Raw genomic sequence first — 14,409 nt, 5'->3', positions numbered from 1 at the left:
ACATGGTGAAACCCTGTCTCGACTAAAAAACTACAAAAATTAGCCAGGCGAGGTGGTGGGTTCCTGTAATCCCAGCTACTCAGGAGGCTGAGGCAGGAGAATCGCTTGAACCCAGGGGTGGAGGTTGCAGTGAGCCGAGATCACACCACTGCACTCTAGCCTGGGTGACAGAGCGAGACTCTGTCTCAAAAACAAACAAAACAAAACAAACAGCAACAACAACAAAACCCTTTCCTTTTCAGACCTGTACTGTTGTTGGGAACTTCTTCTTACCAACCCATGAGTCGACTACTTTCCAATGCCTTGGCTCTGACACCTCACCCAGCACAGGGGACACACAAATACTTCTTTTTAAATTCACTGCCTCTAGAAACCTGAAAGGAGAAGACATTTTTAAAGGATGGTCACTTGTTCTATGCTTCTGTGACACTAGGAACCTTAAGGCACTGGGGCAGAGGGGCCCTGCCATTCCCATTCATATTATAAAGCTTCCCCCTTTGAAGTAGGTTACTGATGTTCTCTGTGTGCTTCCGGGAAATAGCTGCCTTGTCATCCTCAAAGCTACTGTGTCCTCATTTCTTGCTTTTATTGTACACGTGCTACCATTTTCACCTCAGAGCAACAGTGGCCACCAATGCTGTGTTCATTTCACTTCCCTTGTGCTCCTTCATAAAGAAGCTATGAATAATTTAACCAAATTATTTACCAACCACAAATAAAGATGGAGGTAGTATCAATAGTTGGAACACATAAATGGAAATACGCGGCACACGTTTCTTCTTGGGGCAAATGAAAAGGGGTAGTTGTAGCATGTCCCACCTCTGGGCTTCATGGCATGTTGGGACCGAGTTTCTGAGACCAATGCTGTGTGCTTCAGGAACTTCCTAGCATCCACCTGGCTCCTGTTTATACTGTACTTTCTGTTTTTCCTTGTTTATCTCATATCTTCAAAATATTTCACCCTGTAAAACTGCAAGGTTGCATTTTAGTTTATTGTACAAAGAACCTACTTCAGTTTTACTTCTTCTGGAATTTGCAGTTAGTCAGATCTGATACATTGTCTTACCTTTTCAATAAAAGCTTTTGATTTTAATTTATTAAGGAAAAAGTAGAATGTGATCAAAAAAACTCTCAGTTGCAGCTGAAAATCTGAGTGAGAGAGAGGCATATGCAAATGAAGTAAAGAAGGCTCTTAAACTTGTTTGCCTTCACCGAAGCAAGATAATGTCCTGGTTAATGTAGCATTAAATATATACATGCAGGAATGCCTTGTTTAGAGCTCTGGATTCCTGTATTTGTCATGGTGTCTGTAAGAGGTTCATATCCTCCGTGTCTCCCTGTGTGACTTAGTCACCTTACTTTACCTTTCTGGGCTTCAGTTTCCTCATCTGTGAAATGGGGACATAACTACCTCAGAGTTGCTGGGAGGATTAAGTGAGTTAATTCATGAAGCACTTCAGACAGTTCCTGGCATTCAGTAGCTGTCACCTGATATGGTTTTTATTGTTGTCATTACCTTCCTATAAGCTATGTCAGCATGTGTGAGAAATAAATGTTTAAGAAATAAATGTATCAGAACCTACACATCCAAGGGAGTTTTTCTTCCTCAGAATGTTCTGACTTGGAAAATAAGCTTTGATTTTGGTAGTGCTGCCCATGCCGGACATTTTGGGGATGGCTCTTGGAGGAATGCCTTCTGGGGCTGTAGCACTACGTTCTTCGTATGGCTCCTGTAGTGACCAATTTTCTGTCCCCTGAGTGAATGTGGCTTTGAATTTTTTCTTTTCTTTAAAAAATTTTTCTAAACATAGAAGACATTTGGAACCAAGTAAAAAAAAATCTTTTGGTTTAAAAACTTACCTAGAAAGTTTATTCACAAGAATGGTCATTGGGCCAAATTAAGCTGAGTTTTTAGTTTTAACAAGAAGATTATTAGTTTGGGTCTTTGGCTTTTGGGATTCGTAAGGAAGTTCCTGTCTACTTCCTGCAGAAGCAACTGCTCCCAATCTGATTATTTTGACCTCAAAACCCCATTATTCCTCCTGTCTCCTCTATAAGTGGAACATCAGCCACACTTTGTTTCAGGGTTCCCTTGGCCTGCAGGCCCCAGTTCCTACAGAAACTTCTTTTCCTGACAATCAGTATGATTTTTTTACCTCTACCACATATTTGTTTCTTAGCCTACGCTCTTGTTCTAATGATTACTAATTTTTTACAACTTGATATATGTAATGTTAACTATGTAATGTGTATATCTACTCACCTTGGCTTTTTGAAATAACTTGATTGAGGGCCAGCTCTTGGGCCTCCTGTGTGGATGTGTTAAAGTGCCCTGCCTTATGTCTCTGCTGTCCTCTTTCCTTTCCATAATTCCAAGTGATTAGAAAAGCAGCCACATATTTTATAGTCATTTGTAAGTCAAGTTGCCAGCCTTGCCACATACTCATTTTTTTTTCCAGCTGAGCATATTGTAATGGAAATTCTAAGTTTGCCTTGACATGTTCATTGCTCTGCACAAAGTCAACACTTGGTCTCCAAGACAGTTTGGGTGCTAACTTTATTTCCCTGTACTGTCTGGATTGTGGAAGATCAGATGTGGATGCCTAATGTCCCTTGTTAAAATTGTCCCAAGAGCTATCATATAGACACTGTGTGTGTTTGAAGGAAGCAGGTCCAAGTCTAAACAGTGATGGCATCCTGTTGGTCTGAGAAGCAGGTAACTTGTGTTTTAAAAACAAAACAAACTGAGAAGACTTCCTTTTTCTTTCTTTTTTTTTTTTTTTTGCACTTGGCATTACATTACAATAACCAAAAAAACCCTGCAGGAATGGTTGCTGAAAAACAAATGAAAAAATTAAACAATAATTGAGACTTTTTGAATAATATTTAATATATATCATTGTTATATATAATATAATATATATAATATTTATAGGTTATATATATCTCTCTCCCCTCTCTCTATAAGTGCATTTCTGTATATGTGTGTGTGTGCATGTGTGTGTGTGTATACCTTCTCTGTTTTCTCTGTTTTCCTATACACTTTTCTTTATGGTAGTTTGCTTTTTGCTTTTTAACCATTTTATTTGGACTTATGTTATTCATAAATTCTCTCTTAACCACTTTTTTTTAAGAGCAAATATACATATTTTCTGCTCTAAGCCCAGGTTGGTGACATCATAGAAATTTTAGTGTTTCTTCTTTGTCTCAATCTTTCAAGTATCTCATAATCTGTTCTTAAACAAATGTCTAAGAATAATATGAGTGGCAACACTTCAAAACAGTGATTTTTTTTAAATCACTGTAAACACATATGTGTGTAAGATCTTTTTTGAATTTTTAAAAATAATCTTAAGGAGAATAATAAACATGCTTCCGGCCATTTTTTGAGACATAGAACCTGGAAAATTTTGTTTCCATGTATTTTATGCCGTAGAAGTCTTTGAAGAACGAAAAGTGGGAGTCACAGAGTGTGACTGTGTTCAGTTTCTTTTCCCCCATGAGAAGGTCTAATTTGGTTGCTGTAGCTTCAAAGCTGTGTGTCATGAGAATCTGATGCTAGTGGTGGTGGCTTTGGTGGAGGATTTTAAGAAAAGATAATGGTTCCTGCCACGGTGATTTTAGGCAAAAGAGTGGGACATGCAGCCTCTTCCCCTTCTAGACACCAGCATACTCATCTATTCCATTAAAACTTGTTGGCAGGAAAAAAATCAAACATGCTCCTCGAAGTGGAAGTAACTGGCAGAGGTTTTAGTGCCTTCTTCCTAGGAGGTTGTATTTTAACAGAAAAGAAAACTTTGGCTCCAGGAATAAAAATCCTTTTTTTAAAAGTGCATGAACCCTGCAATTTGGTGCTAATTGTAACTTCTGGAGGCTCCACCCTGGTTCTCTTGATTAAACTCAAAACAACCCCTTTTCCTTCCCAAACATCTCCCAGAGTGGGTGGCTCAGCCAGGGGCCAGCATTTTTATTCCATTTTCGAGGATCTTGGCCCCATCCCTGGTCTTGTCTCCAAGTGGGGCAGCTTAACAACCACTCTCTGTGGGCTTTGAGTATGGCAAGATGACCTGGCAAGCTGAGCTAGGTGTTTGCCATTCACACAGGAAGGGGGCCTTCAGGGAAGAGCTCGAGTCATCATGAAGACAGAGCCTGGATGGTAAAATTAATGCCCCTCATACAGATGTTGAGTCACATGATGTATTAGATAGTCAATGAAAGATGAAATTATGTTGGTATACCATACAAGGCAGTAATGTACAGTACTCCTTAAGAAACATTTTCAATAGGAGTTTTATGGTTGCTTGAATTAAGTTGCTTTGAGAGGTAAAAAGTTGCAGTAAGTGCTATAATTTAGAAAACCAGAGACTTACATGGTAACATCTCTACTGGATTAAGTCTTCATGAGTATAACAGCATAAGTATTATAAAACTTAACTAGAATCGGAAAATAGAAGATAAAGAATTAGTGTTTTGTTTGGATCTTACCTTTTTCTGTGCCTGAAACCCCCACATTTTCAAAAGTCCTTTCCCAAGGTCTCCAACGCTGGTTGGTCCTGTTGCCTTGTGGAGTTTCTAATTGAATGTATCTGAAGCACTTCAATCAGAGCTGAATCTTGGTCTTCCATGCTGTCATCCCCTGTATTCTTTCCCAAACCAAGTTTCTGTTGATTCTGCCTCCAAAAAGTATCTCAAATCCACCCTCCTGGTCCAGTCACCTGGGTGACTGCAGTTGCTATTCATACTCACTGTGACTCTTTTCCACCCTCTTTATGAAATGGAAATCTGGTAATTCACCTCCTTCCCCTAAAAGCCAAAACAAAAAACAAACAAACCTGCAGGACTCAACTTTTCCATGACTTCCCATGATCTTAAGTTGAAATCATAATTTCATAACCTTAGTGACTCGCATGACCTGGCAGTTGCCCACTAATCCCCAGCCCTCCGTGTTCCCCCTCTTCAATCCAGTCATGGTGGCTTAGTTTTGGTTTCTCTGAGATAGCATTCACTTCCACTTTCCTCTCTCTTTTTTCAAATTGTTGACTTTAATTATTTCTTTAGTTCCCCCTTAAATCTCATTTTGTCAGAGAAAGCCTTAGGTTAGAAACCACCTTATTGCATGACATTGACCCCCTTGATAGCAGTCTGTTGGTATATGTCTAGTGGCTGGCATATAGTGGATGCTTATTCATATTTGTTGAGTGAAAGAATGAGAGTAGTGGTAATTGTGAGTATTTTAAGTGCTGCTAAATACTCTGAGAGTTGGCATATCTAGCATGAGGTGTGGCACAGATGCCACCATTTTTTTTTACCTGCCAGACGAGCCAGTCTATTTATTACTAATTTATCACCACATCCTTCCCCTGGGCTGGCTTTCTTAGTACTCTACTGGTCTGTGTGAATTGGCATGTGGCATGAAACCTATTTGACATTTCTAATCTAGCAGAAAATGTCATCACCTTCTGGATGTTTAGGTCCTTGTATTGACCTTTAAACATGTTGCATAAACTTTTCATGCCTTAATTTTCATGCCAGTCTAATACAGGTCATCAGATTGTAAGATAAGATAATTCTTTCATGAAGATTAAGTAAGAAATACTGAAAAATTAGTAGAGCATATTCAAATATAAGGTTGTATAATTACATTCAGTATGCTTTGACATAAATAATCATTTTCTGTTTAGCCACTCTCTTATGCAGACTAAAATGTAAATTTTATATACACATAAATTAAACTTTCAGTTGCATAGGCTTATCATGTCTATATATGAGCCTTACAGCAGGGACTCTAATTTTCTTTCATAATTAAGTTGATTTCTTGTTTCCATTGGACTTTTACTTAATGTTTATTTTGCTAGTGAAAGATCCATTTCAAGGAGATAGAATATAAAACATCAAGAAGAAGATGCTCATTTTAAATTCAGTTTACTATCATTCTGTGGCAGTGTTTCACAAAGCATACCCATGGATCACCTGTATCAGAAACATGTGGGGATGGTTAATTTGCAGGTTCATGCCCCCACAACTTACTGAATCAGAATTTGAGAGGCCCAGAAAACTGCATTTTAAAGTGATCACTTTGTACTTTAAATAAGCTCCATAAGTTTGAGAATCAGGTCCCATATAATACTTAGTGTATACTGTGTCATTAATAAATTTCGAACAGGATCCATAAAAGATGGCTCATTCACCGACCTTTTCAGTCTCACCTGAGCATATAGATGTTATCAGAAAACATATCAATGCCAACACTATACAATAAAAGGTGATGATATTGATTGTGACTAAGGTTGAAAACAGTCTATGACCTTATTCAACTGGAGCACAGAGGATCAACAAGGGGCATTGTTCCTAGATGGCTAAAACACACTGGCCTTCCGGGAACAATGGCCCTTTGACCACAGCTGACACAGGCGGGAAGGAACTAGACAGGGGTCAGATCTCCTCAGTCCAGCAGTGAATGGGTGGGGCCTATGGTTGAGTCCTCTGGAGAAGCCCGGCAGGGGAAGGCCAGCAGTGCCCTTCATGCTCACCAGGGCTGTCACTGTTCTGCCCTCCCTGGATGCCCACATGGCAAGAACGCTTGCCCTGAGCAGGAGGACAGGAACAATACCTGTGTTTTAAAAGTTGGCATTGCCAAGTGTGTAGGATGTGCTGCTCACCGAGTTCGGTGGTTTCCTTGTATTAGTTCATGTAATCAGCTTAAGTAGGGGAAATCCAGGGTGTTGATGAGAAGGCATTTCATGGCAGACTTTAACCCTGGACTGGATTCTGGGGAAGGTTACAAGTCTCCATCTCCTGTTCTTATCAAAACTTGCTCTACTCTTTTGGATCGCCTTTGACCACTTAATGATACTTACAGCTTTTATCTCACAGTTCCACCTCCAGATCAGTATTGTTTTCTGTCATTTCCTGAATGTGAATTCCATCCCACTAAGTAGACACAGAAGTTGTCAGTGGGGAATGGTGTCATCCCTCTCCTCTGGTGTTTTGAAATGTGTGGGAACATTTTCAGTGGTCATGATGATGAGGGGTGTGTATATCAGGATTTAATGTCCTGAGGGTGTGGGATGCTAAATACCTTTCAGTAGTTGGGAGTGGGAGGGTCCCACTTAATGAAGGATTGTCCTGTCCAGAATGCTGAAGGCACCCCTGATAAGCTATCTCTTTTTTTTTTTTTTTTTTTTGAGATGGAGTCTCACTCAGTAGCCCAGGCTGTAGTACAGTGGCATGATCTTGGCTCACTGCAAGCTCCGCCTCCCGGGTTCATGCCATTGTCCTGCCTCAGCCTCCTGAGTAGCTGGGACTACAGGCACCCACCACCACGCCCGGCTAATTTTTTTGTATTTTTAGTAGAGACGGGGTTTCACCATGTTAGCCATGATGGTCTCGATCTCCTGAGCTCATGATCTGCCTGCCTCGGCCTCCCAAAGTGCTGGGATTACAGGTGTGAGCCCACCCACCCACCCCTGATAAGCTCTTTGGTTTTATCTGCATCTTATCCAGCACCTTATTATTATTTGTTTAATCTCTGTATTTCCAGAGCAGGATCTCACTCTGTTGCCCAGGCTGGAGTGCCGTGGCATAATCATAGCTCACTGTAACTTTGAATAGCTGGGCTCAAGCAAGCCTCCTGCCCCAGCCTCCTGAGTAGCAGTGCCTTCTTGAGAACTGACCAAACATTTAATATGTAATGGGATTCATATGGCTTAATAGATGCAGTTTGAGCTTAGTTACTTGTAGGGTAAATAAGCAAATGGTTGAAGCCATCTTCTTGGATGGCTTTTGTGCTCTCACAGTGAAGGTGTCACTCTTCTTGAATTCTGCTTTGTAACCTCATTCTTCCTGACGGTACAATGTAGACAAGCTCTATGACCTAGGGAATAATCCTAAGCAGCTACTGTTCCACTCAGGCAACATTCCTATTTCAAAAACTACCAGCATGTAGTCCCACTGAAACCTTGGTTTCACAAAAAGAAACAGGATGGGGAACATCACACACCGGGGCCTGTTGTGGAATGGGGGCGGGCAGGGGGTGGCGGGGAGGGATAGCATTAAGAGATATACCTAATGTAAATGACGAGTTAATGGGTGCAGCACACCAACATGGCACATGTATACATATGTAACAAACCTGCACGTTGTGCACATGTACCCTAGAACTTAAAGTATAATAAAATATATATATATCTATATATATATATAAAGAAAAAAAAGAAAAGAAACAGGATGATGCTAAGTAAATTAAGTGTTAGCATCATGAAATGGGGTAGAGGGCTGAGTACCCCAACATTTTATCTCTGACACCATCCCAGGTGAGTAGTCTTAGCAGTAGGAGGGTTTGAGATTTGGAGGTACAGGCTCCATACTCCAAACTTTCTGGAGAAAAGGTTACTTTGTCCGTTGATCAGAAAGCTACTGTGTGGAAAAAACAAAGGTTTGAACTAAGGATCAAACAAGATCAGTAGAGGGTCCTGGGATATGCATTGATATGTATCAGTCATTCAGTTAGACATGTTAGAGATGCAGACTGGGAAAATTCAGCCAAAGGAGCTTGAGAGAAATGCAAATGCTAAGATGACTCAGTGGGCTGTTTTCCCTGGAAGGCCTGGGGACCAAACAAGAAGCAATGTGTCAACCCTTTGTCTCTCTGTTACTCTACTTCTAAGAGTAACTTCTAAGGAAATGATTAGTGATGTATTCAGAGATTTCACTCTGAGGATGCCTAAATGCTGAACATTGGAAGCAACCCAGATGATGTCCAAAAGGGGATTGAATAAATATAATTCACCTATATGATAGACTATTGCATAATCTTGACAATGATTATAGCATGTTTTTAATGATGACAATGATTATAGCATGTTTTTCATATTTTTCATGTATGAAGAAAAGTATGACATGGGACAAAATGTATGAAAAACATGCTATAATAAACAGATTAAGATTTCAATAAGGAAACTTTGTAAACATGGAGGAGAGACCTGGAAGGGCATTAATCAAAATATTCACTTGGATTATCTTTGAGAAGTGAAATTCTAGGTAGTTTTTCCTCTTAGAGCTTTAGTGCTGTACATAAAATGTTTTCTGTGAGCATGTAGAATTATTTTTGTAATTAAGCAGTTTAATACAGCAATAAAAACATGATTATTAACAGGTGCCTTGTTGACCCTTTACTCCAAATATTCCTGGTAGTTCTAATCATTTAAAATCTCAATAATTATATATTCTATCATTTTAAATCTAAATATTTCTGATAGGTTTATTCCTCAAAAGGAAATGGGTTTTTTTTGTTTGTTTGTTTGTTTCTTTGTTCATTTTTTTGAGACAGGGTCTTGACTGTTTATGCAGTGGCACAATCACAGCTCACTGCAGCCTTGATCTCCTGGGTTCAAGGGATCCTCCCACCTCATTCTCCTGAGTAGCTGAGACTATACGCGTGCACCACCATTTTTGACTAATTTTTGATTTTTGGTAGAGATGGGGTCTTGGTGTGTTGCCCAGGCTGGTCTCAAACTCCTGGGCTCAAGAGATCTTTCGACTTCAGCCTCCCAAAGTGTTAGGATTACAGGCATGAGCACTGTGCCCAGCTGGAAATGAGGATTTTGATTACAAGGAGTGGATATGTGTGGGGGAAGAACTGAAGGATGTGAAGCAAGAAGGGATATCAATATAGTAAAGAAGAAGAATGTATAAAAATGAAATCTAATACAGTAATACTAACTACATTTGTCTAGTTTGAAGCTCTGCCTAGGAAATTCCCACTGAGACGTAATACATTCATGTCTGAGTGGGGTTGGGTAGCAGCCATAAAGGCCAAGCTTGGCCCCTCTCCCCCAAAAGTGGCTGAATCAGAGGTGTGAGAGCATCTCAGACTCTAGAGCTGATGTTCAGAAGAGTCAAGTTTCCATCTTAACACCTAGATCCTGTGGTCATAGAGTGGTATCTGTGAATCAGCCCATTAAGAATTTAAGCTTGGCCTGGCGTGGTGGCTCATGCCTGTAATCCCAGCACTTTGGGAGGCCGAGGCGGGTGGATCACGAAGTCAAGAGATCGAGACCATCCTAGCCAACATGGTGAAACCCCATCTCTACTCAAAATACAAAAATTAGCTAGGTGTGGTGGTGCACCTGTACCTGTAATCCCAGCTACTTGAGAAGCTGAGGCAGGAGAATCGCTTGAACCCGGGAGGCGGAGGTTGCAGTGAGCTGAGATTGCACCACTGCACTCCAGCCTGGTGACAGAGTGAGACTCCATCTCAAAGAAAAAAAAAATAAGCTTGCTTTAAGGAAATACTTGCAGCAGCATTTCTCAGAATAAATTCTGTGCATAGGCATGCTTCATATGAACAGCTAGGGTACAATTAAAAAGACTAGACACTTTTTAAGATGATAGTTGTTGTTGTTGTTGTTTTGAGATGGACTCTCACTTTCTCACCATGCTGGAGTGCAGTGGTGTGATCTTGGCTCACTGCAACCTCTCCCTCCCAGGTTCAAGTGATTCTCCTCCCTCAGGCTCCCGAGTAGCTGGGACTACAGGCACCTGCCACCATGCCGGGCTAATTTTTGTATTTTTAGTAGAGACGGTTTCACCATGTTGGCCAGGCTGGTCTTGAACTCCTGACCTCAGGTGATTCAACCGCCTCGGCCTCCCAGAGTGCTGGGATTACAGGCATGAGTCACCACATCTGGCCAATAGCTATTGTTTTTAATGGAAAAGTTATTCACTTAGCAATGTCTGCATGTCTGATGCCATAAGCTGGAAACTGTTTGAGTTGCTGTGGATACAAAACTAAACAAGAAAGGTGTGAGAACACAGCTATCATTTTGTTAACCTATTTGGTGTATTTTGCCTATTCTTTTTCTATGTGTATATATTTTATATTTTTAAGACTATTTTTGCATCCTGCTGTCCTCATTTAATATCTGAAGCATTTCTGCATGAATATAATTTTTAATGGCTGCATACTATTCAACTATGTGAATATCTCAGTTTTGTAAATCGCTTCCCTGTTGTTGAACGATTGGGTAATTTTGCATCTTAGTAGTGAAAACAGTAATACAAATTTTATCCTCATTTCTAATTATTTCCTTAAGATAGATTCAAACTGGAACTGTGTCAAACAGCATGGGCATATTTAAGGCTCCTGATGGATAATGGTTCCCTGTGTAGGGAAGCATTCATCTCATTTTACTATCAGTAGCATTGAATATTTTAAAGTGCCAATTTAATACAAAATATTGCGTTGGTTCAATTTACATTCCTTTGAATAATAGGTGACATTGAGCCAATGTCCACAATGTCTATTTGTTACATTATTTTTAATGTGCCCAGTACTATATTTTAACTTCTTTTTAGTTATGCAAATGATAGATGAATACATCTCAAAAATTTTAACACTATACAGAGCCCTCTTTGACTGTCTCCTCTCTCTTTCCCTTTCCATCCCTATAAGTACCCACTTTTATCAGTTGAATGTATCTTTGTAGACCTTTTGCTATACTTAAATGTGTGTGTGCAGATAGGTAAATACATAGATGCATAGTTTATTGGGCTTTAAAAACTTACATTCTATATATTTTGGGGATAAATTTATGGTTTTTAACTTTCCTTATTTTTTCTCCTTGAGATATGGTCTTACTGTGTAGACAAGGCTAGACTTGAACTCCTGGGCTCAAGTGATCCTTCTGCCTTAGCCTCCCAAGTAGCTGGGACTATAGGGATGTGCCACCATACCCAACTTCCTTTTTTGGTTTTAACCGGAGCAGAGGATGTCATATTATATGTAACATGGTTCATTTAACCATGTGTTCATTAGCCATTTCTGTTTTTCTTATGTAATTTACATATGCATGTATATAAACTTTATATATTTTTATCTGTTTTTTCCTATTTAAGGCTTAGTGTTTTCCTTATAGATTTATATATGTTCTCTTTCATAATAATAAATTATTATTTATTATTTCCTGAACATAATTAAGAAAAATGTGTGTGTTCACTTACAAATAACCTTTAAAAGGTTCTGAAGAGATAAAGCAAAACATCGTATGTAAACAATTGATGATTCAAATAATGTTAGAGAAAGAAGGTCTGAAACTTCCTATTTCTTATTTTCAAGTTCCTATGTTAAAGCTGATCTGATTACCAAACATTTGTTCACTGATCTTTCAGAGTTTCAAGCTGTATTTCTCAACTTACCAATATTCATGAGTGCTTTTGATTCACTGTGCTGAAAACCAGAACAAAGGAAGGACTGTTATATTAAAGTCAAAAAAGAAAAATTCATCTTAACAGTATTTTGAATTAAGGGGAAAAAAACCCTTTAATCCTGACCTTTGCCAGTTCCATCACAATTAAAACAAAAAAAGTAAACCTAAAATAAAAGAATTTCTTGGGGAAAAAGCTCTCTCTACTTATTTTTCATCATCTTTGTCAAAGATTTCGGTGAGATTGCAATACTTGTATAATAGTGTTTCTGTTTTTAGAAAAGTTATATGGAAACATTAGTCCACTCAAAATAGAAGAGTATTTAAAAATATTCTATGTTTACTCTACATTAGCTCAGCATTTTTTTTCATGAAGATCAATATCTCATCCTTTGGATTTATGCGGTACCTGTCTCATTTATTTGTGAGTTTGTTGTGTATGCCCCACCAGACTCAGAGCTCTTAGAATTCATGCCTTACTATTACTGTTCCTGGCACCTAACTCAGCACTTGGTACCGAGTAACTGCACTTGGTGGATTGCTTACGTGAATTGAAGTAATCACACATTCAAAGAAATCAGCTATCAGTCTATTCTGCAGTCACAGAAAGTCTGGGAAATCCAAACCTGATCCATGTAGCAATAAAAAAAGATGGACCACTTTAGCCTACGGCTAAAGACCTAAAAACTACCTTCCAAATCATGAATTTTGCGGAGGATTGTATAGGCAACTCATAAACCAAAGTCTTTTAGCAATTTTAGGGCTTTAAGAAAAATAATTTGACTTGATGCAAGGTTAACAACAGTAAGTCCTCACTTAATGTCATCGATAGGTTCTTGGAAACTGTCATTCTTAAGAGAAACAACATGTTAAGAAACCAGTTTTCTCATGGGCTAATTGATATAAACAAGAGTTAAGTTCCTATGGCATATTTCTGATGACAAAAACACCACCAAACTTCTAAATAAGGACCAAAACACTTCTAATATTAAAAATTGAGATGGATATGAGCTATACTTATACTTAAGAAAAATTGATGCAAACAAGTAAGATAATTATTTATCCAGTTATTCTAGTTCAGGGTCTTGGATGAGAGAGCTTATCCTAGCATCTCAGGGCATAAGGTGGGAACCCATTGTGGACAGGACACCATCCCATCACAGGACACACACACACACACACACACACACACACACACACACACACACACACAGTCTCATTCAGACTGGGACCGTGGAGACATGCCAAGGAACCTAAGGGACATATCTCTGGGAACTGAATAAGAAACCAGAGTACCTGAGAAAACCCATGCAGACATGGGAAGAACTTGCGGACTCCACACGGATGGTGACCCTGACCAGGAACCAATTTTTCTTCTCATCAGTGTTATAACAAAACAAAGTTGAATTAAACAGTGTTATTCAAGGGCCTTCTGTGTGCATATGAATGTAAATAATTCAGTCCCAAGCCAGAATTTGGTCTCAGAATCTGGGTTGCAATCCTGGCTTGACCACTTGCATGCTGGTTACTGACCATTCTCTCTGAACTTTATCTGTAAGTCTCTTTATCTGTAAGATGAGATTAGTGCCTACCTTATCATGCTATTGCTTGGATTAAAGCTATCTGGCATATCCCAAATTTTTAGTAGGTGGAGATGGTGGTACTGGTATATGTAGTATACCTTCCAAGCACACATTCAGGCAGTGGGCAGGTAGGGAAGGTGGGCAACTTGCCGCAGCAGAGAGGAGGAAGAAGTTCAGACCGTTGGGTAGGATAAGTGGATCCAACCCCTTTGTAGGGCAGGTGGTGGAGTGGGCAGATAAAGAGCCAAGCCCTAGTTTGAGTGACACTGTGGGGATTCAAGAAGACTTTTGTCACGTGTGTAGTGCAGTGACTAGCTCTTACCTCTGGTTCAGTACTAACCATGCTAACAGACCTGCAGAGTACCAGCTTGTGGGTGATTATGTACCAAACACGTGTATCACGTTTATTGAACAGTATGCTCTAAGTCACTTTGAAATGAATAGGATGAATAAAGGTAAGGGAATTTATAAAAAAAAAAATAAGTAAACATGTATGGCACTTCCTCGAACAGATAGAATAGCTTTTTACTATTAAGGAAAGTAAAAGTTGAGCAGAGAGTAAGGTACTAACAGGTAGTCTACACATGTATGTTCCATTTAAAATATGAAACCCATGAGCACAC

General features: G+C 39.4%; 1 protein-coding gene across 9 annotated transcripts in view, besides 2 other annotated features; it reads left to right on the top strand.

Moving 5' to 3' along the window:
* Positions 1–14,409, top strand: part of SGMS1 (sphingomyelin synthase 1) — a 319,585-nt gene that overhangs the window by 79,543 nt on the left and 225,633 nt on the right. The window lies entirely within an intron of this gene.
* Positions 6,597–6,806: an enhancer, noted in NCBI's record as "active region_3364". NCBI's record gives its function as "activates an Ori minimal core promoter by ATAC-STARR-seq in GM12878 lymphoblastoid cells {active_cell/tissue: GM12878}" and the evidence as "EXISTENCE:reporter gene assay evidence [ECO:0000049][PMID:35858748]".
* Positions 6,799–7,093: a silencer, noted in NCBI's record as "tiled region #12597; HepG2 Repressive non-DNase unmatched - State 6:EnhF". NCBI's record gives its function as "represses a minimal TATA promoter and a strong SV40 promoter by Sharpr-MPRA in HepG2 cells {active_cell/tissue: HepG2}" and the evidence as "EXISTENCE:reporter gene assay evidence [ECO:0000049][PMID:27701403]".

This window comes from Homo sapiens, chromosome 10 (genome assembly GCF_000001405.40).
Source record: "Homo sapiens chromosome 10, GRCh38.p14 Primary Assembly".
Lineage (NCBI taxonomy): Eukaryota > Metazoa > Chordata > Mammalia > Primates > Hominidae > Homo > Homo sapiens.
The sequence above is the reverse complement of the archived record's forward strand: the minus strand, read 5'-3'. Positions and strand labels throughout refer to the sequence as shown.